This window comes from Homo sapiens, chromosome 6 (assembly GCF_000001405.40).
Source record: "Homo sapiens chromosome 6, GRCh38.p14 Primary Assembly".
NCBI classification, from domain to species: Eukaryota; Metazoa; Chordata; class Mammalia; order Primates; family Hominidae; genus Homo; species Homo sapiens.
Window position 1 is genome coordinate 110,117,586 of NC_000006.12, and position 26,842 is coordinate 110,144,427.

A 26,842-nucleotide genomic window follows, 5' to 3' on the forward strand; every position below is an offset into this window, starting at 1 on the left:
TCGTCAGGATATTATCTAGGAGAACTTCCCTAACCTAGCAAGGAAGGCCAGCATTCAAATTCAGGAAATACAGATAACACCACAAAGATATTCCTCAAGAAGAGCAACCCCAAGACACATAATTGTCAGATTCACCAAGGTTGAAATGAAGGAAAAAATGTTAAGGGCAGCCACAGAGAAAGGTCGGGTTACCTACAAAGGGAAGCCCATCAGACTAACAGCGGATCTCTCGGCAGAAACCCTACAAGCCAGAAGAGAGTGGGGGCCAATATTCAACATTCTTAAAGAAAAGAATTTTCAACCCAGAATCTCATATCCAGCCAAACTAAGCTTCATAAGCCAAGGAGAAATAAAATCCTTTACAGACAAGCAAATGCTGAGAGATTTTGTCACCACAAGGCCTGCCTTACAAGAACTCCTGAAGGAAGCACTAAACATGGAAAGCAACAACCGGTACCAGCCACTGCAAAACATGCCAAATGGTAAAGAACATCGATGCTAGGAAGAAACTGCATCAATTAACAGGCAAAATAACCAGCTAACATGATAATGACAGGATCAAAATAAAACATAACAATATTAACCTTAAATGTAAATGGGCTAAATGCTCCAATTAAAAGACACAGACTGGCAAATTGGATAAAGAGTCAAGACCCATCAGTGTGCTGTATTCAGGAAACCCATCTCACATGCTCACATGCAAAGATGCACATAGGCTCCAAATAAAGGGAAAGAGGAAGATCTACCAAGCAAACGGAAAGCAAAAAAAAAAAAAAAAAAAAAAAAAAAAAAAGCAGGGTTTGCAATCCTAGTCTCTGATAAAACAGACTTTAAACCAACAAAGATCAAAAGAGACAAAGGCAGCTACTACATAATGGTAAAGGGATCAATTCAACAAGAAGAGCTGACTATCCTAAATATATATGCACCCAATACAGGAACACCCAGATTCATAAAGCAAGTCCTTAGAGACCTACAAAGAAACTTAGACTTCTGCACAATAATAACGGGAGACTTTAACACCCCACTGTCAATATTAGACACATCAAAGAGACAGAAGGTTAACAAAGATATCCAGGACTTGAACTCAGCTCTGGACCAAGCAGACCTAATAGACATCTACAGAACTCCACACCCCAAATCAATAGAATATACATTCTTCTCAGCATCACATCACACTTATTTTAAAACTGACCACATAATTGTAGTAAAACACTCCTCAGCAAATGTAAAAGAACAGAAATCACAACGAACTGTCCCTCAGATCACAGTGCAATTGAATTAGAACTCAGGATTAAGAAACTCACTCAAAACCGCACAACTACATGGAAACTGAACAACCTGCTCCTGAATGACTAATGGGTAAATAACAAAATGAAGGCAGAAATAAAGATGTTCTTTGAAACCAATGAGAACAAAGACACAAAGTACCAGAATCTCTGGGACACATTTAAAGCAGTGTGTAGAGGGAAATTTATAGCACTAAATACTCACAAGAGAAAGCAGGAAAGATCTAAAATTGACACCCTAACATCACAATTAAAAGAACTAGAGAAGCAAGAGCAAACATGTTCGAAAGCTAGCAGAAGGCAAGAGATAACTAAGATCAGAGCAGAACTGAAGGAGACACACAAAAACCCTTCAAAAAAATCAGTGAAACCAGGAGCTGTTTTTTTGAAAAGATCAACAAAATAGATAGACCGCTAGCAAGACTAATAAACAAGAAAAGAGAGAAGAATCAAATAGACACAATAAAAAATGATAAAGGGGATATCACTGCCAATCCCCCAGAAATACAAACTACCATCAGAGAATACTATAAACACCTCTACACAAATAAACTAGAAAATCTAGCAGAAATGGATAAATTCCTGGACACATACACCCTCCCAAGACTAAACCAGGAAGAAGGTGAATCTCTGAATAGACCAATAACAGGTTCTGAAATTGAGGCAATATTTAATAGCCTACCAACCAAAAAAAGCCCAGGACCAGACAGATGCACAGCCAAAGTCTACCAGAGGTAAAAAGAAGAGCTGGTACCATTCCTTCTAAAACTATTTCAATCAATAGAAAAAGAGGGAAACCTCCCTAACTCATTTTATGAGGCTAGCATCATCCTGATACCAAAGCCTGGTAGAGACACAACAAAAAAAGAGAATTTTAGGCCAATATCTCTGATGAACACCAATGCAAAAATCCTCAATAAAATACTGGCAAACCAAATCCAGCAGCACATCAAAAAGCTTATCCACCATGATCAAGTCAGCTTCATCCCTGGGATGCAAGGCTGGTTCAACATATGCAAATCAATAAACGTAATCCATCACATGAACAGAACAAATGACAAAAACCACATGATTTTCTCAATAGCTGCAGAAAAGGCCTTCAACAAAATTCAACACCCCGTCATGCTAAAAACTCTCAATAAACTAGGTATTGATGGAACATATCTCAAAATAATAAGAGCTATTTATAACAAACCCATAGCCAAAATCATACTGAATAGGCAAAAACTGGAAGCACTCCCTTTGAAAATCAGCACAAGACAATGATGCCGTCTCTCACCACTCCTATTCAACACAGTGTTGGAAGGCTAGAGCAATCAGGCAAGAAGAGAAAGAAATAAAGGGTATTCAATTAGGAAAAGGGGAAGTCAAATTGTCTCTTGTTTTCAGATGACATGATTGTATATTTAGAAAACCCCATTGTCTCAGCTCAAAATCTCCTTAAGCTGATACGCAACTTCAGCGAAGTCTCAGGATACAAAATCAATGTGCAAAAATCACAAGCATTCTTATACACCAATAACAGACAAACAGCCAAATCATGAGTGAACTCCCATTCACAATTACTACAAAGAGAATAAAATACCTAGGAATCCAACTTACAAGGGATGTGAAGGACCTCTTCAAGGAGAACTACAAACCACTGCTCAACGAAATAAAAGAGGACACAAACAAATGGAAGAACATTCCATGTTCATGGATAGGAAGAATCAATACCGTGAAAATGGCCATACTACCCAAGGTAATTTATAGATTCAATGCTATCCCCATCAAGCTACCAATGACTTTCTTCACAGAATTGGAAAAAACTACTTTAAAGTTCATATGGAACAAAAAAAGAGCCTGCATAGCCAAGACAATCCTAAGCCAAAAGAACAAAGCTGGAGGCATCACGCTACATGACTTCAAACTACACTACAAGGCTACAGTAACCAAAACAGCATGGTACTGGTACCAAAACAGAGATATAGACCAATGGAACAGAACAGAGCCCTCAGAAATAACACCACACATCTACAACCATCTGATCTTTGACAAACCTGACAAAAACAAGAAATGGGGAAAGGATTCCCTATTTAATAAATGGTGCTGGGAAAACTGGCTAGCCATATGAAGAAAGCTGAAACTAGATCCCTTCTTTACACCGTATACAAAAATTAACTCAAGATGGATTAAAGATTTAAATGTAAGACCTAACACCATAAAAACCCTAGAAGAAAACCTAGGCAATACCATTCAGGACATAGGCATGGGCAAACACTTCATGACTAAAACACCAAAAGCAATGGCAAGAAAGCCAAAATAGACACATGGGATCTAAATAAACTAAAGAGCCTCTGCACAGCAAAAGCAACTACCATCAGAGTGAACAGGCAACCTACAGAATGGGAGAAAATCCTTGCAATCTACCCATCTGACAAAGGCTTAATATCCAGAATCTACAAAGAACTTAAACAAATTTATAAGAAAAAAAACAACCCGATCAAAAAGTGGACAAAGGATATGAACAGGCACTTCCCAAAAGAAGACATTTACACAGCCAACAGACATATGAAAAAATGCTCATCATCCCTGGTCATCAGAGAAATGCAAATCAAAACCACAAGGAGATACCATCTCATGCCAGTTAGAATGGTGATCATTAAAAAGTCAGGAAACAACAGATGCTGGAGAGGATGTGGAGAAATAGGAACACTTTTACACTATTGGTGAGAGTGTAAGTCAGTTCAACCATTGTGGAAGACAGTGTGGCAATTCCTCAAGGATCTAGAACTAGAAATACCATTTGATCCAGCGATCCCATTACTGGGTACATACCCAAAGGATTATAAATCATGCTACTATAAAGACAAATGCACATGTATGTTTATTGTGGCACTATTTACAATAGTAAAGACTTGGAACCAACCCAAATGTCCATCAATGATAGACTGGATTAAGAAAATGTGGTACATATACACCATGGAATACTATGTAGCCATAAAAAAGGATGAGTTCATGTCCTTTGCAGGGACATGTATAAAGCTGGAAACCATCATTCTAAAAAAACTATCACAAGGTTGGAAAACCAAACACCAGATGTTCTCACTCCTAGGTGGGAATTGAACAACATGAACACATGGACACATGGTGGGGAACATCACATACCCGGGTCTGTCGGAGGGTCGGGGGCTGGGGGAGGGATAGCATTAGGAAAAAATACCTAATGTAAATGACGAGTTGATGGGTGCAGCAAACCACCATGGCACATGTATACCTATGTAACAAACCTGCACACTATGCACATGTACCATAGAACTTAAAGTATCATAATAAATAAGAAAGAAAGTAAAGAAGCAGATCTCCGATTTTAAAAAATGGAATCCAAAAAAAAAAAAAAGAAGACATAGAAGAAGTGGTGTCAGAAAACAAATTGACATTAGAGAATCTGGCAAAAGCGTTCCAATTATTCAAGACTACTTTTGATTTATTTTACAACGTGAACCCTTCTATGATACAGTACCAAAACTAAAGCAAATAAAAGGAGGATTGGTACCATATAAAAACATTTTTAGAGAAATGAAGAAGCAAAAAAGTCAGAAATCAAGATGTGTTTTTGTAAAGTTACACCAGTGTGCCCACCTCTACTACTTCTACCTCCTCCACCTCTCTGCCTCTGCTACTCCTGAGACAGCAAGACAAACTCCTCCTTTTCCTTCTCCTCTTTGGTCTGCTCAATGTGAAGATAACGAGGATGAAGACTTTTATGATGATCCACTTCCAATTAATGAACAGTAAGTATATTTTTTCTTATGGTTTTCTTAATAACATATTCTTTTCTCTAGCTTACCTTATTGTAGGAATACAGTATACTACTACACATACAACATAAAATATACATGTTAAGCAACAGTTTATGTTCTCGGTAAGGCTTCTGGTCAATAGTAGGCTATAGGCAGTTAAGTTTTGGGGGAGTCAAAAGTTATATGCAAATTTCTGGCTTCACTGAGGATCTGTGCCCCTTACCCCTACACTGTTCAAGGGCCAACTGTATTTTAAACTTTAAACCCTATCTAAAGTCACCCAGCCATGACAAAGTGGGGAAAAAAAAAGAGATACCCTGGGAAGCCTGCTTTTAAACCTTGTTCTACTACTTTCTGTTAAATGATTTGTGTCTAAAATGGAAATTACTTGCTTTATCTATATCTGTCCACCTGATGAGGGTTAGAGAAGATTATGATGTAAAGGTATATGCAAATAATATGCCTGTCAATCTGAAAGCATTTATATGTAGACTGTAGCATTTATATATAATCAGCATTTATATATAATCAGCATTTATATTAGCTAGAAATAAATTTTAGGCCAAGTAGCAGAACCCAAGATTCATCAAAGACCTAGAAGATTATCTGTCCCAGGGATGCCCAAGATATAGATTCAGAAATTTAGGAGATCTTTTACACCCTCTTGTTACAACTTCTGAAAAAAAAAAATCATAAATCTAAAATCACTGTATTCCTCTAGTTGTGTAAGTTCTTATTACTGAAAAGAGTAAGCCAAAATAACTTGAAGAAGATCCCTGCCATTACTGAATTTTGAGCAGAGGGAGAACCAGACATTTAAGCAAATATTTAAAGCAATTTAATAGATAAGTCCTAATATTTGTTCTATTCACTGTGAGACCTTGGTATCAATTTCCTTATCTGTAAAATAGGAATAAAAACATCTGTCTCTAAAAGAAGCAAGAAAAGAGCCTTGAAGTGCACCTCATACAGAGGAGCCCAATAACAGGCAGCTCTTAATATAAGGTAAGAGCAACACAGCAGAGATAGAAGCACCTCACTTTCAGGTGTCAAAAGTTATTTGGTGATCAAGATACTTCCAGAGACAGTTTCTCTGGCAGATAAGGGAAGCATCCCAAATGGAAGAAAAAGCAGGTATAAAGTTACTCATTTATTCAACAATTGGTAGGGATACAAATGCTAGGTGTAGATACAGAGATGGAAAAGACTAATCTTGGCAATAAGAACTGACTATATTCCATAAGAGAAAAGCCAGGGGAAGAGATCCCTTAGGTATTCAGAATCCCAGTGGTTGTTAATGAAAGGAGTTAGCTAGCTTGCTTTAGGCAGACAGTAAGGGAAGGGTCCCCAGAGAACCTCTGACCCACCCCACAAGGGCTTACACCAGATGCTTTGTGCAGATAAGGGAACTTGCACAGGGGGCTTGCTTAAACATGCCCACAGCAGACTAAGGGCCTGCATGTGCACTAGGGAAATGTGGTGAAGCCACCAGTAATCTGTGCCTCATACAAATAGGGAACCCAGCCCCATCAGCGTCTCTCTCTCTCTCTCTCTCTCTCTCCTCTCTCTCCTCTCTCTCCTCTCTCTCTCTCTCTCTCTCTCTCTCTCTCTCTCTCTCTATATATATATATATATATATATATATATATATATGCCCTTGTATTCAACTGTGACGGGGCAACCTGGAACCTGCTTTCAGGACCCCTCTCTTGGCTGAGAGCTTTCCTTTCACTTAATAAATTCTACTCCATTCACTCTTAGAGTATCTGTGTGCCTAATTCTTCCTCATCGTGAGACAAGAACCTGGACCTAGCTCAGCTAAGGAGTAAAAAACCTTGCATCATTAAGAAAGCAATAAAATGAGAAAGAGGAAATTGATATAAAGTGAATTATAGGTTTGTGGTAATTACCTAATACAAAACAGAATTATGTTCTACTAGGAAAAATCTCACAAAAAACAGATGTACTGGCTGGGTATGGTGGCTCACACCTGTAATCCCAGCACTTTGGGAGGCCGAGGCGGGTGGATCACTTGAGGCCAGAAGTTCAAGGCCAGCCTGGCCAACATGGCAAAACCCCATTTCTACTAAAAATAATACAAAAATTAGCCAGGCATGATGGCACTCGCCTGTAATCCCAGCGGCTTTGGTGGCTGAGGTACAAGAATTGCTTGAACCTGGGAGGTGGAGTTTGTAGTGAGCCAAGATCGCACCACTGCACTCCAGCCTGGGTGACAGAGCAAGACTCTGTTTCAAAAAAATAAAAAAAGGAAGTACATTTTTGTGAGGAAAAGGTCAGGAAGATATCCAGCCCTGAGCCATGTGGATCCCTGCAGTTTACTTTCATTGCTATATTCTCAAGCACTTTCAGTACTAATAATAGCACCAAAGTGAAAATCTCCATTATCTAGAAACATTTTGGATAGCCAAGTTTTCTAAGTAATTCAGATTTTATTATCTAATACATCAATTGTTATTTTAACTATTTTCGATGGAAACTTGTGAAATGTATTCTAAGCTTCCCTCTTCTTAAATGGAATATAAAATTAAACATAATTTAATTTTTTCTTAGGGACTCACGGGCATGAATTATGAAAATCAAATATTATCCTAGGCCAGAAAACAGCCTTGAAATGTATAAGGATATTTGCTTTACATTAAATGGCTTCTTTCCAGTTTTTATGTTGCATCTTCCCTTACATCACTTTGTCCTTTCCTGTGAACTACCTCCTTTTGGTTGGGTTCAGTGATGCCTCCTTCTAGTATCTCCTCCCATGCTTCCTCCTTTTATCCTCTGAAGCATAACTGTTTGGAAACCACATCATCAAATCTGTTTGAACTATCAAGGTAAAAGTAAACAGGTTTTGAGAGAGGGATCAATTGGTTATTTTATGTGCATGGTCTTTAGTGCATGAGTTTATTTATTCTGGCTATCTAGAGGCCTTTTAAATTTAATTCCAGGTTCTCAACTATGTCAAGTGGGAAAGCTGCCAGAGAAGTTAATTTCAGGGCAGTAAGCTATTGTCACACCTTGCTAGAATATTTTATGGGTTTTCTCTTTGTTTTTGAATCTCTACAAACTGCTTAAACAATGCCTTCCAGGTCTCTGATTCTAAATGTGAAGCACCCAACACCTAATTTAGTTATATTGTTACAAGGTATTTATAATTTTCAGAGTTTCGCTACAGCATAACCATGTGCCTGCTGATAGATGTTGCTTATATGGACTATATAGACTTAAAAATTCCTTAAATTTTCATCTTTAAGTTTTGTAACAAATGGGTTAGTACTGCAAATTATCACCCTTAATCACAATATTAGTTCTAAATTCTATATTGGGTATATACCTAAAATAAGATGCCTGTACTGGATCCACAATTCATTTTAAGAAATATGTTATACAAAATTACTAATGCCATTTCTATGTTCTTAACATGTATTTTAATATTAGCATGCTTATATACTTATGTATGTACATAACATATATAAAACAAATTTTATATGACATCATGTTATACTTGATTCAATCCGTGCTAGGTCACAAAAAATCTGCAAAATATCTTTAAACAATATAGTTAATCATATTTAAACTGGGAACTCTAACACTTTTTTTATTAGCCTCAAGTAAACAATACAATATTTTAGTGATTCACTAACCTGAAAAAAATGACCACTGAATGGAACAAGGAATATACTTAAAATTCAAATAAAATAGCCTTTTATTTATTCTTACTATTTCACAGGCAATGCAAAAATTTAGTACTCTCACAGAGAATATTCAAATGTAACTTTTTATGTTGCTCTCGCTACAGGTATGCCTAAACTTTCTTACCGGAAACAAATTAGATTAACAACCTCTTGTGCTAAGTACTCAATTATAAAAGAAAGGACAAAAGTTAAAAGGAAAAGAAAAGAAAAGCCAAGCCTGCTTATCAGGAGAATTTATATGGCTGATGAGATAAATCTAGGACCACTTGGTGGATATTATCTCTGCCAAGAACACCTTGTTTCACCTTTAAAATGAAATATCAATGTCTTATGAAAAAGCTAATCCTTCAATGCAAAAGACAGACCAGATTTTTTAAATTTTCTAAATAAACTTAGAATAGAAAATAATTTGTTTAATTCCTTAACCAAGTTGCTCTATTCTGTAAATCTGCAATGAGAACATATTGCCTGTCTCCTTCTCCCTAATCTGCCTCTTTCACTGGCCTTTATTCTCTGGCCAACCTGCTTGACTTCTGTCTGCCAGAGGCCAAGTTCATTTGCTGTTTTCACACAATGCTGCATATCAGATTCCTGACTTATATCCTAATGTCTCTTAGACATCCCACTTGACTAGCCTACCCCTCTGACTAATAATGACCCCATACCTCTCACCTTAGATCTTTGCTAATATAAAAATATTTCCCTAAACTAATTAAATATATATATAAAGAGAGGGATACTAGTGTTTGAAAACACAAATAGTTGAGGCCTCTAAACAGAGTAAATAGTGATAATAACCAAGGAAAAGTACAACTCTGGTCCTTTCGCAGATTATATATTTTTAAAACAATCTCAATAATTTTCATTCATCATGTGTTTCTGTTCCTAGAGATTCTGTCCGTATTTTCCTTTCCCAGAAGAAACATCATGCAGAAGAGGTTCTTGTAAAACTCAATAATTATACTCATGTGACTATATTTTTCAGGATAATTTTGTACTCTTCTCACCAAATCATACTCCCAAATTAATCAGAAGCACAACTTCTTAATACGCTAAAGCATAACATTCTGGTTTGTGAGTATATTTTTAATTGATATATACTTACTTAGGCTACTTAGTTGTCTAATTATATTTGCCAAGGAAATATTGGTTACACATTCCAGTTCATTCTTAATGCCTCTAGGCAGTGCTGTGTGGCACAAGTGCCTAGGATCGATGTTTCTTTTCACTAGCGGCATCTTGAGATTAACCTTTGTGCCAGTTCACCTGTAGGAAATCAAAAATAAATTAACAATATTAAATTTCAGCCAACACAGAATGAGACTTTATTTTTCATTGAAGAATAAAGCACTGTTGACCCTTGAACAACATGGATTTGAACTGCCTGGGTCCACTTACTGGTGGATTTTCTTCCCTCTCTGCCTCCCTGAGACAGCAGGACAAACCCCTCCTCTTCCTCCTCAGCCTACTCAAGGTGAAAATGACAAGGATGAAGACTTTATGATGATTCACTTCCACTTAATAGTTAATTATCTTATGATTTTTAATAACATTTTATTTTCTCTGGTTTATTTTATTGTAAGAATGCAGCATATAATACATATAACTTACAAAATATGTTAAACAACACTTTATGTTCTCGGTAAGGCTTCTGGTCAACAGTAGTCTATAAGTAGTTAAGTTTTTGGAAAGTCAGAAGTTACACACAGATTTTCAGCAATGCAGAGGGTTGGTGCCCCTAATCTCTGGGTTGTTCAAGGGCCAACTGTATTTGCTTGTATGAAGACAATAAAAATGAAATTACCCAACTAAAATAATCAAAATTGATTTAACTTCCAATTACTAGAATATCAACATTATACAAAACGTTTTTTAAAAACTTGCTTTCAATGTCAGCTGCTGCATGGTGAATTCACAATTATCACCATTATTCTCCTAAAAACACTGTTTTTATTTACTATAATAGGGATTTTGTTCTAGAGAGTTAGTGTGAGATGTCCTCTCTAAGGAAGTGCATAAAAGGATTAAGGAAGCTGTAAGAGTAAATCAAATTTACATTATCACACAAAATGTATCAGGTGTTCAAAAGCTCAGATCAAATACTCCAAGTAGCCCTGCACCTGAAATCTCATTGGAATCTACCAAATCTTTATTTAACTGATCAAAAAGTTCAACCATCTTTGAATTATAGGCTGCTCTCACTTTGCATGCTTCGCATATGCACAAATTTGAGTGACTCGAGTTAGTAACAACACTGCCCAACACCATGATTCAAATTTCACTTACTACAGCATATTAACTGTGAGTAATTGCACAAATACAAACTTCATTTCTAGTACTCTAGTCCAGGACTCCCCAACCCCCCAGCTGCAGACCAGTAACGGTCAGTGGCCTGTAAGGAACCAGGCTGTACAGCAGGAGGTGGGCGGTAGGTGAGCAAGCATTACTGCCTGAGTTCCACCACCTGTCAGATCAGTGGCGGCATTAGATTCTCATAGGAGCACGAGGCCTATTGTGAACTGCACACGTGAGGGGTCTAGGTTGCATGCTCCTTATGAGAATCTAATTAATGCCTGATGATCTGAGGTGGTACAGTTTCATCGCGAAACCATCCCCCACTCCACACACCCCCACCCCCTGCCCGTGGAAAGACTGTCTTCCACGAAACTAGTCCCTTGTGCCAAAAACAAGGAGACTGCTGCTCTAGTCTACAAATCACTGTTAAGAAGAGCTGTACGTCATGATCAGTGACCAATCACCACTTCTTTCAAAGTCAGTTGATGATTGGTTACACCCTCATCTGTTAGTCAATTCACCTACAGACAGCAAAGCATGCATCTGTTGCCTTCTTGCCTCCCAGTGCTAAGTCTACATGAAATTTTACTAAATAGGTAGATGAAAGCAGGAATTGGCCAACAAAGACAGAAGTGCAGCAAAAAACAAAAAAACAAACAAAAAAAATGGTAACACTGGAAATGAAATTCAAATCCAACATAAGTGGAGTAACAGATGAAGTAGCTGACTGTGGAAATGTTGCCACTGCCACTGTTTGAGAGCTTCTAGATATGCAGCCTGAGGAACTTAGCGAAGGCAAACCTACAGACATAAATGAGGAATGTGGTTGTGACAAAAAGAAGGAATATGTTCCAAAGGAAGTGACACTAGCAAAAAAACCTTCACATTTAAGAAACTCTTGGAGCTACTTCATGACAGTGGAAGCACAAAAGATAAAACGTTGGAAGCTAATCCTAATTTAAAAGAAAGGAGTGTGACAATTTGCCAAGGCACAGAAAAGATGCTCACTTTGCTAGCTCTGCTATTGTAAGTTACACAATGAGAACTGCTCAAACTGCCTTTGATAAGTTTTTTTTACAAAGAAATAAAACACTAATTCTAATTGATTCCAATATCTTCAATGACATTGTGCTAAGTAAATACTTCTAAATTTCCCTATACATTTTAACCTACAATAGAAGAGGTTTTACTGTCTTGACAAAAATTTTTAAAGAGCGTACGTTAAAATACTGTAATTTTCCCCATTTTTAAATTAAGATCATTTTTCATGGTTTCAACTTATACTGTCATTTTTTACAGTCCTGCACTACTGCAAAGTGGGAAATGACTGACTGTACTATCAGTGAACAACGGTTACTAAAGGAGACAATTTATTAATTACTGAGCTTTAATGACTAACAAATGAGAAGTTTGGGATAAACCTAATTGCAGTTAAGTGTTACTTATCAACATGCTTTTAACAATTTTTGCATAAATTTGTTTCCTCTGACCTATTTGTTTAGCATTCTCTCCACATTTTTAATCCATTCTAAAACTGTGCAACATGAAATGTAGAGAAAAAAAGCATACAAAATTGTACACCTCAAAAATTTAACCAAACTCTCATGTAACCCCATTAAGAAATAAAATATTGCCTGTACCAATTGCCAGAACCCGTCCACTTTGGTCCTCTTCCCATTCTTGCTTACCTCCCCAAGATAGGTAACCTTTATTCTTTTTATAATAAGCATTTCCTTGTTTTTCTTTTTATTTTCACAACTTACATAGGCAACTTTAAACACTATAGTTTTGATAGCTTTTTGAAGTTTATATAGACTAATATGATACATATTATTTTATGCCTTGCCTTTTTCATTCCACATTGTAACATTCATCCATACTGCTCTGTGCAGGTTGTTCATTTTCATTGCTGTATAATAGTCCACTATATGACAACACTACAATTTATTTACCCATTCTAATGTTAATGAATTGTTTCCAGTTTGAAGCTATTATGAAGAGGACTATACTGATCATTCATGCACATGTGTCTTAGTGTACACATTTCTATTGTGAATATACTTCAGGACAAGAATAGCCAAGTTAAGGATACACACAACTTCATCTTTAGGAAATGATGCCAAACTGTTCCAGAGACTGTACCAACACTTTACTTTCGGCAGTTAAGAGGCTGCTGCTCCACATCCCCATAACACTTGACACTGTCAGTTTTTAAATTCTAGCTGTTCTTGAGGGTATGTTGTGGCTACTTGTTATAGTTTTAATTTGTGTTTCCCAATTATTGAATTTAAGCACCTTTTCATGTTTCTTGATCTTTTGGGTTTTTCTCTTGGGAAGTGCCTGTTCAATCCTCTTGTCCATTTTTGGCCATTTGTTGTGTTAGGGCTGATTTGTAGAAACACTAGATATGAGCCATTTGAAGGTTATAGGTGATGGGAATCTCTTCTTTCACTTGCTATTCCACTTTCTTAGTGATGTCTTTTAATGAACAGAAGTTTTTACGCTCCATGTGGTAGGGATATTCTCAATCTTTTCAAGTTTAGAACAAAAGCATAGTTTCTAAAATCTTTTTCTACACCAAGATCATAAATATGACCTTTCACTTTATCTCTTAGCTTTGTTTTTTCTTATAATCTGTAACTGATGTGGAATTAATTTTGTGAATGGTGTGATGTAGCAGTTAGGTTTCTTATATATTATTTCAGCACCACTCATTGAAAAGCCTAGTATTTCTCTATTGCTCTATGGTGGCACTTTTGTCATAAATCAAGTTTCTATGTATTTTTAAATCAGATTTTGAGCTACATACTATTCCATTGCTCTTTTTGACTAACCTAGAGCTAATGACAAACTGAATTAATCAGGCTTTATAGTAAGTTCGCTCTGTTGCTCAGGCTGGAGTGCAGTAGTGTAATCTTGGTTCACTGCAACCTTCGCCTCTTGGGTTCAAGCGATTCTCCTGCCTCAGCCTCCGGAGCAGCTGGGACTACAGGTGCCACAACACCCGGCTAATTTTGTGTATTTTTAGGAGATGGGGTCCTGCCATGTTGTCCAGGCTGGTCTCAAACTCCTCAGCTCAGACAATTGACCCACCTCAGCCTCCCAAAGTGCTAGAATTACAGGCTTGAGCCACTGTGCCTGGCTTATAGTTAAGTCTTGATACACAATAGGGCAAGCTCTCCAATCTTGTTCTCCAAAAATATTGTTTATTCTTGACCCTGTGTATTTCCATGTAAATTTTTAGAATAAGATTATCAAGTCACACATAACACATACACCCACCTCTACCTGTTGGGAATTAGACTGGAACTGTTATTAAACCTATCATATTGGGAAGTACTGATATTTATACATTTCTTTCTATCCACGAACATAATACATTGCTCCAACTACTTCAGGATTTTTAAAAGTCTCTTAATGTTTTATAGTTTTCTAAAGAGAAGTCTTATACATCATTATTTATTTGTATGTAGATGTTTTTATAATACTGGAACCACAATATATATTGTTGTATATATAGAAAATAAATTGATTTTTTAATATTGACCCTATATCCCAAGATCTTCCTAATCTCTAACCTATCTGCAATTATTTTGGATTTTTAAATGTACACAATCATATGTGAATAGTGACGATTTCCTCCATTCTAATCCATTTTATATATTTTATTTCTTTTTCTTGCCTTACCACACTAGCTATAATCTTTAATACAATGTGAAATACGTATTTCATATACATAAGGATGATGGCAAACATCCTTGTCTTTTTAACTCAAGCAGAAAAGGCTTCAACATTTCACAAGGCGTCTGTAATACGGTTTTTTTTGTGGTTATTTTGTTTTATAGACACCTTTTAATAGATTAAGGAAGTTCCTTTATTATTATTTTATTTTAATAAGTTTCTGGGGGAACACGTGGTATTTGGGTGCATGTATAAGTTCTTTAGTGGTGATTTCTGAGATTTTGGTGTACCCATCACCCAAGCAGGGAACACTGTACCCAATGTGTAGTCTTTTATCCCTCTCCGTCCTCTCACCCTTTCTCCCAAGTCCCCAAAGTCCATTGTATCATTCCTATGCCTTTGCATCCTCATAGCTTAGCTCCCACTTATGAGTGAGAACATACAATGTTTGGTTTTTCATTCTGGAGTTACTTCACTTACAGTAATAGTCTCCAATTCCATTCAGCTTGCTATGAATGTCATTATTTTCATTCTTTTTTATGGCTGTGTAGTATTCCATGGTGTGTCTGTGTATATATATATACATATACACCATGGTGTTTGTGTGTGTATTCCATGGTGTATACACACACACACACACACACACACCATGGAATACTACACAGCCATAAAAAAGAATGAAAATAATGACATTCATAGCAAGCTGGATGGAATTGGAGACTATGACTGTATGTAAGGTAACTCCAGAATGAAAAACCAAACATCGTGTGTTCTCACTCACTTTTCTTTATCCACTTGTCGAATGATAAGCATTTGGGCTGGTTCCATATTTTTGCAATTATAAATTTGTGCTGCTATATACATACTACATACATCCATATTTTTGCAATTACAAATTGTGCTGCTATATACATGCTATATACATCCATATTTTTGCAATTACAAATTGTGCTGCTATAAACATGCAAGTGCAAGTATCTTTTTTGTAAAATGACTTCTTTGTACAATGACTTTTTTATAGTATCTTTTTTATATAATGCCTTCTTTTCTTCTGGGTAGATATCCAATAGTGGGACCGCTGGATCAAATGGTAGATCTACTTTTAGTTCTTTAAGGAATCTCCACACTGTTCTCCATAGTGTTTGTACTAGTTTACATTCCCACTAGCAGTGTGAAAGTGCTCCTTTTTCAACACATCCATAACAGCAGCTATTGTTTTTTGATTTTTTTTATTATGGCCATTCTTGCAGGAGCAAGGTGGTATTGTGGTTTTGATTTGCATTTCCCTGATTATTAGTGATGGTGACCATTTTCTCATGTTTTTTGGCCACTCGTATATCTTCTTTGGAAAATTGTTTATTCATGTCCTTAGACTACTTTCTGATGGGATTTTTTTTTCTGATATTTGAGTTCATTGTAGATTCTGAATATTAATCCATTGTCAGATGTACAGAGTGTGAAGATTTTCTCCTATTCTGTGGGTTGTCTGTTTACTTTGCTGCTGTGTAGAAGCTTTTTAGTTTAATTAAGTCTTATATATTTATCTTTGTTTTTGTTGCATTTGTTTTTGGGTTCTTGGTCAGGAACTGTTTGCCTAAGCCAATGTCTAGAAGGGTTTTTCCGATGTTATCTTCTAGAATTTTGTCTTGTTTTTATTTTTTTGAGACAGAATCTCGCTCTGTTGCCCAAGGTGGAGAGCAGTGGCATGATCTAAGCTCACTGCAACCTCCACCACGCCCAGCTAATTTTGTATTTTTAGTAGAGATGGGGTTTCACTATGTTGGTCAGGCTGGGTCTCGAACTCCTGACTTCAGGTGATCCACCCACCTCAGCCTCCCGAAGTGCTGGGATTACAGGTGTATGCCACCATGCTTGGCCTTGGGTTGATCTTTTTATAAGGTGAGAGATGAGGATCCAGTTTCATTCTTCTACATGTGGCTTGCCGATTATCGCAGCAATATTTGTTGAACAGAGTGTCCTTTCCCCACTTTATGTTTTCATTTGTTTTGTTGAACATCAATTGGCTGTAAGTATCTGACTTTATTTCTGGGTTCTCTATTCTGTTCCATTGTTCTATGTGCCCTTTTTTTTTTTCTTTTTTGGAGATGGAGTTTCGCTCTTGTTGCCCAGACTGGAGTGCGGTGGCACGATCTCAGCTCACTGCAACCTCTGCCTCCTGGGTTCAAGTGATTCTCCTGCCTCAGCCTCCTGAGTAGCTAGGATTACAGGTGCCCACCACCACGCCTGGCTAATTTTTTTTATTTTTAGTAGAGACAGGGTTTCACTATGTTGTTCAGGCTGGTCTCAAACTCCTGACCTCAGGTGATCTGCCTGCCTCGGCCTCCCAAAGTGCAGGGATTACAGGTGTGAGCCACCGCACCCGGCCTATGTGCCTATTTTTATACCAGTACCATGTTGTTTTGGTTAGTATGCCCTTATAGTATAGTTTGAAGTCAGGTAATGTGATGTCTCCAGATTTGTTCTTTTTGCTTAGTCTTGCTTTAGCTATGCAGGCCCTTTTTTGGTTCCATATGAATTTTGGGAGTTTTTTTTCTAGTTCTGTGAAGAATGACAGTGGTATTTTGATGGAAATTGCATTTTGTAGATTGCTTTTGGCAGTATGGTCATTTTCACAATACTGATTCTACCCACCCATGAGCATGTGATGTGTTTCCATTTTGTTTGTGTTTTCTATAATTTCTTTCAGCAGTGTTTTGTAGTTTTCCTTGTAGAGGTCTTCCACCTCCTTGGTTAGGTATATTTCTAAGTATTTTATTTTATTTGTTGCAGCTATTATAAAAGGGTTTGAGTTCTGGATTTGATTCTCAGCTTGGTCACTATTGGTGTATAGCAGTGCTACTTATTTGTGTATATTAATTTTGTATCCTGAAACTTTACTGAATTCATTTATCAGTTCTAGCTTTTTGGATGAGTCTTCAGGGTTTTCTAGGTATATGATCATTTCATTGGTGAACAGCGACAGTATGACTTCCTCTTTACTGATCTGGATGCCCTTTCTTTTTCGTTGGATTGCTCTGGCTAGGACTAACAAAGTTCCTATTACTACCTGCCCAAGATTTTAAAAAAATCATGCTATCAAATGTTTTTCCTACATTTATCATCATGTTACTCTTACTCTGTTAGTGTGGTGAATTATATTGACTGTGGGGTTTTTTTGTTGGTAAACAACCCTGCACCCTTGGAATTAATCTAATTGTATGAGATGTATGTGGTAGGGAGAATAATGGTCTCCTAAAGCTACCCATGATCTTATTCTCCTGAATCTATGAATATGTTACATTATATGGCAAAGGGCTTAGAATTAAGGTAGTCAATGGAGTTAAGATTTCTAATCAGCTGACCTCAAAATAGGAAGATTATCTTTTTTTTTTTTTTTTTTTTTTTTTACCAATTACTGGATTTAGTTTGGGTTTGTCATTACTTTTTGGCCTTTTGGCTAAGATCAAGTGTAGTTTTGGTTTGTTAATATAATTAGTTTTTTGCATTTACATCCATGAGAGAAAACAGTCCATTATCTTTTTTTTTTTTTTTTTTTTTTTTTGAGATGGAGTCTCGCTCTGTCGCCCAGGCTAGAGTGCAGTGGCGCAATCTCAACTCACTGCAAGCTCCGCCTCCCGGGTTCATGCCATTCTTCTGCCTCAGCCTCCCGAGTAGCTGGGACTACAGGCACCTGCCACCATGCCCAGCTAATTTTTTTGTATTTTTAGTAGAGACGGGGCTTCACTGTGTTAGCCAGGATGGTCTCGATCTCCTGACCTCGTGATCTGCCCGCCTCAGCCTCCCAAAGTGCTGGGACTACAGGCATGAGCCACTGCGCCCAGCCAAAATGGTCCGTTATCTTAATGTAATGTCCTTGAAAAGTTTTTTGTTTTTGTATTAATTTCTAGAATAAGGACATTGTGGTCAGAAAATACACTTTGTATCACTTCATCCTTTTAAAATGTATTTACACTTTATTGTCCAAAATAGTCAATTTTTGTAAACATTCCAGGGATACTGAAAAAGAATATACATTTTGTTATTGGTGGTTGCAGTGGTCTACGTATGTCCATTAGTTACATCTGCTAATGTACCTACATCTTCTATAGCTTTACTGAGTTTTGTCTACTGGTCTATCAGAGAGACATGTTAAGACTGCCCACTAAGACTATACAGTTGTTAAATTCTCCATATGATTTATATATTTCAAGACTATGTTATTAGGTATATTTACCATTATTAAGTTTCCTCTATCTCTAATAATATGGTTTTTGCTTAAAAGTCTAATTTTTGTAGCCGTACCAGCTCTTTTGGTTGTGTTTGCATGATAGAGCTTTTCCTTTCAACCTTCTCCTATCTTTGTTTTAAACATGTCTCTTCACAGAATACAGTTAGCTGCTGCCTTTTGCTTTATTTTTCTTTAACTTAGTTTGTTAATATCTGACTACTTTTATTGGTATAATGCTAACGTTCTTTCTGCCCAAGATATTCTACTTGCCCTACTCCTACTTGTTCTTCAAATTTTAGCTCCAATGATAACATTCCCTGATCCCCCAGTCTCAATGAGATGTGGTCCTCCTGTTAAAATTTTCTCACATCAACCTCTAATTTTTCCTTATGACACTTGTCTCAGTTTGTAATTATGTATCTTCATGATTGATTTCTGTCTCCTTTATTAGTCATAAAGCAGGTTTCATGTGTTTTACAGTATCCTTGGTGCCTGGTACATGCTTGGCACATAAGAAATGTTAAATATGTATCTGCTGAATAACTCAAAATTTCTTAATTCCAGTTCATATCTCTCTCCTAAAGCTGCAGCTATGCATATGCAACTGACTTCTAGAAATTTTTACTTGGAGGTTCCATAAAACCTATTAAATTCAAAACATTCAAAACTGAATTCCTTATATTTTCCCCTTCAAATCTAGGCATCATCTTCAATTCTGCCATACCACTGCAATCTCTTCTCTATATCCAATAGAGGATCAAGCCTTATTAATTCTAAATTAACATCTCTCATATTCTGATAATCCTTTTCTATTCTAACTGCTACTACTTTAATTCAAACCATAGTCCTCTCTCACTTGGTTAGACTTATGAAAACAGGTAATTCAAAATCTAAGCTGTTGGACTCTATTTTGCGCCTTAAAGGAATGTGATTATGGGACCTCAGTCACGTGACAGGCAGCTGTAACTTATGCAGCTGTAACCTTTGTTTCTCTGATTATATACTGGCCTCCTTCCTTACCTACACTGTTTTATAAAATGTTGCACATGACGAAAGGACCCCAGGGAAGACCTCTTCCTTCTTCACTGCTGATTTTCATTATGGATTAACTTCCCTCTGACCTTTCTCACACAAAGACTTTGTGGCTATCACACTGTCATAAGATGGAATGTTAAGCATACTCTTTAAAATCAGAAAGGAAATTAAAAAACATCTGTAAAGGAAAGAAAAGCCAGGTGGAAAAGAAAATAAACTGTAACTAATTACTGTAACTCATAAACCAGACTTCTATTAAAAAGAAGTTGCAATCCTATTAAATTTCTGTTTTCCTCCTATGTAAGTATCACAGGGTCCTTAGGGTGTGTCACTTTTCCAGCTGGAAACCTCTGTGGCCAGTGGCACCTGTGCCAGAGTTTTGCTCAGGGCCACTGGGCTTGTTCCGCTCACTCAGCCTGGCAGGCTGCGCAGCTCATACTACCAGCCTGGATCCCACACCTGCCAAGGGTGAGCCAGGCACGGAGTGGCAAGGGGTGTGTAAGCAAGCACAGGGTCTGGCCACTGTGCATAGCCAAGCATGCTGGCTGCAGTGGGGCAGGGAGCTCCAGGTGCTGGCACAGGTGTTGGCTCCCTGAGAGGCTGCGGCTGGACTAGGTATACCACAAGTGGCTTCCACCACAGGAACCAGGGAACACTGTGGTGCCCAGAAGCTTGTAGACACCAGGAACTGCAGAGCCCCAAAGAGAGTGTCACAGCAATGGCTTAGGAAGCTCCTAGGTCTGGGATCTCCAAAGGCCACAGCTATTTTCACCTTCTCTCTTCTCTTCTTCTCATTGCCTGCAATGTGGCAAGTGAGGATCATGTTTCAGCTCTGTGTTATAGCTCTTCCAGTCCTGCCATTCAGCAGGTCCCGAGTTCTTGTCCCACGTCTGGGAAGAATGAAGCATGTGAAGAGGAGCATCACTGAGCGACAGAACAGCTCTCAGGACACCGGAAGCGGGTAGTCCCTTTTCACAGGCAGATCATCCCAATGAGTGTCCAGCTCTCAGCAGAGAAGAGACCAGGAGTGGGTAGCTCTTCTCCATAGGGAGGTTGTCCCAATGAGTTGAGGAGACCCAAAGTGGGTAGCTCCTTCCTGCAGCTAGTAGTCCCAATGTCTGTGTGAATCTGGCTGAGTCTGAAGTTTTTATGGGCTCAGAAGGGAGGAAGAGCATGCTGATTGGTCCATAGGCGGCCATGGGTGGGCTTGGAAAAGACACCATAAGTTCTCACTGTGGTCCACAGAACTGAGAGCCCAGCCCCCAGGCTACAGGCCTTCCCTGGCTTAAAGATGGGGTTTCACTTGGGACCCACCCTTTTCCACTCAGGAGCCTGTCTGCCTCCTGTCACCATCAACATGCTGTCCATGGCACCCAGGCTGTTCATGCTGAGAGATGCCTTCAGGCCTGAGCCGAGCTTCCCTCAGCCTCACTTCCATTTTCCTCCCATGCTCATAGGCACCCAAAGTCTGGAGGGGGTCAAGGTGGCAGGGGTTGGTGTGTCAGTACTGCCTTGAGCACACACACACCTGGCCAGCTTGTGACACCACCCGGGCTTAGCCACAACTTTGCTCTGCCCTGGAACAGGTGCCGGGATCGGGGAGAGACCAGGGAGTGGGAGCAGGCACTTCCAAGCCTGTGGGGGCAAAGAGATTTCCCAGGCCCCCAAGAGCACGGGGATGGCCAGGACCACAGCCCGTGGCTGGGTGGCTGCAGTTGTGCCCAGTAGCACAGGGCTCCCACCCCACCAACTTGGTAGAGCGCAGGGCTCCCACCTGTTCCCAGCCCTGACCGCTCCTCCCCCGTTGCAGCCAGCATCTTTGCAGCAGCTGCTACATACGGGCTGCTGCCGCCATCATAAGCAAAACCTTAACTTTTAACTTCAGAGCACTGACCCCATTTCTCTGAAGTCTGCATCTCCTGAATGGCTATTCCCAGCTTTTTGCTTGAATAAACTCTTTAAACTGGATTCTGATTCTTTCAATTATCTTAGGTTGACAGACTAGACTTTCTTCCTCCAGTCTTATATTTTCTCCTTGTCATTCCATCTACACCACCACTCCCACCAATTCAATCCATCCCACACCACTGCTTTAAGAATAGAGCAGATCCCCTCCAATCCATGGAGGATACATTCCAAGACCTCCAGTGGATGCCTGAAACCACAAATAGTACTGAGCCTATATATACTATGTTTTTTCCTATTCATACCTGTAACATTTAACTTATAAATTAGACACAGTAAGAGGATAACCCAATAACTAATAATAGAAAATTATAATAATATACTATAACAAAAGTTGCATGAATATGACCTCTCGCTCTCTCAAAACATCTAATTGTACTTGTAATATTATGAAATATTTATTTGGTTGGCTTTCCACCCAATTTTCTGGGATACAACTTCTAAATTCCTTAGAATATCTAAAGCATTGCTTTTTTGTAGGATTGGGGCTGGTCACCTGAAAGACAAATGCATGATTAGAGGGTTGGAACTTTCAGCCCCATCCCCCTAACATCCAGGGAGCTGAGACAGGCTGAATGTTAAGTTGACACCAATAGCCAAAGGTTTATTCAATCATGTCTATGTAATGAAGCCTCCCTAAACACTCATAAGGATGGGTCTGGAGAGCTTCCAGAGAGGTAAACACATGGAGGTTCCTGGAAAGTGGTATGTCCTGGAAAGGCATGGATGCTCTATGCCCCTTCCCCTATAACTTGCCCCATGCATTCTTATCTATGTTCCTTGTAATACCCTTTAATAATAAATTGGTAAGTATAAGTGCTTCCCTGAGTTCTGTGAGCCACTCCAGCAAATTAATCAAACCCAAAGGGGGAGTCATAGGAACCCAACTTGAAGTGGGTAGGAACAGAAGTTCCAGAGGCCTGAACTTGCAACTGGTATCTCAAGAGGTGGCAGTCTTGTGGGACTGAACCCTCAATCTATGGGATCTGACACTATCTCCAGGTAGATAGTGTCAGAATTGAATTGAAGAACACCCAGCCAGTGTCTGCTGAAGAATTAATTGCTTGCTTGGTGTGCGGGGAAAAACCCCACACAACTGATCACACAAGTATTCCGTGTTGATTGTTGCTGTGGTGTGAGAGCAGAGGAAAAACACATTGAGTGTGTTTCTTCAACTCACAGTACTGAACTCCCCCTTCTTGTGATGGTGTGAAATGATAAAATGCCTACAGGATCAGATGAAATGAGGTGAATGACATAGCTACTGTGACATAGTGTTAAGCTATGTCAGAAGGAGCCATGACAATGTCAACGGTTGAAAGTCAGGAGCTGAGGATGTCAATGACCAATGAGAAGGAAGCATATACAGTGTGGATATGCTAGACAAAAGGATGAATCACATTCCAGGCAGGATGGCACAAGATTTCATCATGCTACTCAGAATCACATGCAATTTAAAACTTATGAATTTTTTTTTCTGGAATTTTCCATTTAATATTTTTGGGCCATGGTTGACCACTGGTAACTAAAACCACAGAAAGCAAAACCATGAATGAAAGGGGGACTATTGCATTATAAAAATTTTGAATCTGGAAATGTCCTTCTGCAAAATCAAACCCTTCCTTGGTTCCTTGTTGTCAGGGTAAAGTCCAAACATAATATACAAGGTTCTTCAGGATTTAGCCCACCTCCTCACTTCTACCCTCATTTCTCACTACACTCCTACATTATACTCTAATTATTCTAAATATATCTTACTGTTTTATAGTCCTGCCTTTCCTCATGCTGCTCTCTGCCTGGGATGTATTTCACTTTTTTATCCTCAGAGAGAATATATAATTGTTCAAGACTAGACTCAGGCAGCAACTCTTTTCTGAAGACTAACTGAATCCCCCAGGCAGATGTAACCATCTACTCTTTGATGCCCTCAACATGGATCCACAAATGCATCTACCGAATTACTACCAATTATACTTTACTATACTGTGCTTATTTGTTTACACATCCATGCCTGAATGTCAGCTTTTAGAAGGCAAAAATCTTGCCTTACTCGCCTTACTCAACTTGTATCTCCAAGATCTAGAACACAGATGTTCAACAGCTAATCAATAAATAAATGGAAGAAATAACAAAATCATGAGCTTTAAGGAAGCCAAAAAAGAAAAAATAGGTTGCTGCGGGAAGACAGACACACATACACTTATCTTTTTTTTTTTTTCTTTGAGTCGGAGTCTCGCTCTGTCACCCAGGCTGGAGTACAATGGCATGATCTCGGCTCACTGCAACCTCCGCAACCCAGGTTCAAGCGATTCTCCTGCCTCAGACTCCTGAGTAGCTGGGATTACAGGTGCGCACCGCCACGCTCAGCTAATTTTTGTATTTTTAGTAGAGACAGGGTTTCACCGTGTCAGGCTGGTCTCGAACTCCCGACCTCGTGATCCACCCGCCTCACACATACACTTTCTAAAGCAACTACTTAATCATGATTCTAAGGAGCTGCTTTTTTGTATGTGCATGGAAAAGAAATACATTTGAGAAAAATAATATCTTACAAATGTATTATGGAATCATAGGCTTGCTTGTTTCACTCTCCCAAGAAAAAGCATGGATGGATCATATCTTACTCATTTCTTCATCTTTATGGGCTAGCTCAGAGTTCAAGGGTATAAAATCACACACATTTTGATGAAAGGAATGTACAGCATACAGACTAGTTTTGAAATATTATCCAAATCGCAAAAGAAAAATGGCTTTCATTGTGATTAAAATAGTGCCTTTAGGTACAATGCAAAAGCTTTTTAGAGAGAAAACCTTTCCTCATCCTTTCTTTTTACTTCAGTTTCAACACCAGATCCATTTTCTTATTTCTCTACCTTATTCCTTGGTGATTTCTAATGTCATTTATCTAACTCAACTATCAAAATCTCAGTGGCAGAAAGTAAAATAAAGCCTAATAACTTTATCTCCTAAATCCTGAGAAAACTGCCTGATTCCCATTTTAGAGCAATCCCAACACCATCTTTTTCATGGGATCCTTTGTCAGGCTAGAAAAGAATTTTAAAAAAATCAAAAAACAAAAGAAACCCTAAATGCTAAAAGGTATAATTTAATCATCAAGCAAATATAAAATCAAATTCATCTCAGTATTTTTAATACTGCAAATGATACACTGTTTAAGAATTTAAACATTGCATAGAATGAACCAATTACATATAATTTAACATCTTTTAATCCATCAGTGCCTAACTTGCTTAATAAGGGGGAACTTTTTTATTAAAAAGGGCTAAATTATACGGTGCTATAACATAAAATAACCAATTTTTGAATTTCCCGACTATTATATAACACATGTGGTTCCAAAAGTAATTTGGTTTCCCAATGATGTAAAAAAAAAAAAAAAAAAAAACTAAAGCAATTCCCAAGTTTCTTCGTTTATTTTCCTGTGTTCTTATCAATTAAACTATCAATTGCTGAAGCAAACATCAATAGATTGTTGAGAGTACGTAAACTAAAGAATATATCCCCTAAAAAGATTTTAAAATAATTTTTAAGAATAACTTAGCTAAAATCTTAATAATCTGTTTTTAATTTTAAAAAAAACCTTTTCATGGGTATACTTTTAAATCCTGATATAGATTTTAACATTAAAAATAAAATGAGCTACAATACTGTTTATAAGATCTCACAATATCTTATATTGAAAGCCCTCTTTTAAGAAGGCAAGGAAAATGAAACTACTGAAATCTAACCATAGCAAAATGTTTGACAGAATTCTAAATTGTTTATTTTGATGACTACTGCTAATATTGATAATATACTCTCTGTTAAAGAATGCCTTCTCTTGATTCAAAATGAGGCATATATATGTATGAGTATAAGCAATATATAAAGTATTAAAAATAACCCAAGATCAGATGTCATAATGATTTTATGAATTGAGAAATCAGAAAAGTACACTATCTAAATTCTGATTTCAGAACTCAAAAAATGGCCTGTAAAGTTTATTTAAAACGTTTAAAGGACTCCTTGTAGTTAACAATTCAGAGGAAAATAAAATAGCTGCTTATTTTAAGATGTCACAGAAATAATTACATTAACAGTTAATAATTGCTTTATGGGTTATACAAAGAACATAAGAATTAAAAGTATTTTATTACCTAATCAATGACAAGTGATTAATTCTTTACATTCATGGTCAATGAAATAATTTACGATCATTTAAAGGTGTTTCAGTATTTTTAAAATGACATTAATGTTAACTAAAAAATTATATGTCATAGAAATATAATTTTCATTGTTGGACATTTGGGTTGGTTCCAAGTCTTTGCTATTGTGAATAGTGCCGCGATAAACATACGTGTGCATGTGTCTTTATAGCAGCATGATTTATAGTCCTTTGGGTATATACCCAGTAATGGGATGACTGGGTCAAATGGTATTTCTAGTTCTAGATCCCTGAGGAATCACCACACCGACTTCCACAATGGTTGAACTAGTTTACAGTCCCACCAACAGTGTAAAAGTGTTCCTATTTCTCCACATCCTCTCCAGCACCTGTTGTTTCCTGACTTTTTAATGATTGCCATTCTAACTGGTGTGAGATGGTATCTCACTGTGGTTTTGATTTGCATTTCTCTAATGACAAGTGATGATGAGCTTTTTTTCATATATTTCTTGATGGCATAAATGTCTTCTTTTGAGAAGTGTCTGTTCATATCCTTTCCCCACTTGGTGATGGGGTTGTTTGTTTTTTTCTTGTAAATTTGTTGGAGTTCATTGTAGATTCTGGATATTAGCCCTTTGTCAGATGAGTAGGTTGCAAAAATTTTCTCCCACTCTGTAGTTTGCCTGTTCACTCTG

The 26,842-nt window shown here is 37.8% G+C and overlaps 1 protein-coding gene across 4 annotated transcripts in view; it reads right to left on the reverse strand.

The window, feature by feature from the left end:
• The window catches only part of WASF1 (WASP family member 1), a 79,852-nt gene that overhangs the window by 17,767 nt on the left and 35,243 nt on the right, over positions 1-26,842 (reverse strand). For all 4 annotated transcript variants that reach the window (NM_001024936.2, NM_001024935.2, NM_001024934.2 and 1 more), the window contains one exon: positions 9,884-10,044. In NM_001024936.2, coding sequence (NP_001020107.1) covers positions 9,884-10,016 — 133 coding nt within the window. In that variant the 5' untranslated portion in view covers positions 10,017-10,044. The remainder of the gene's footprint in view (positions 1-9,883; positions 10,045-26,842) is intronic.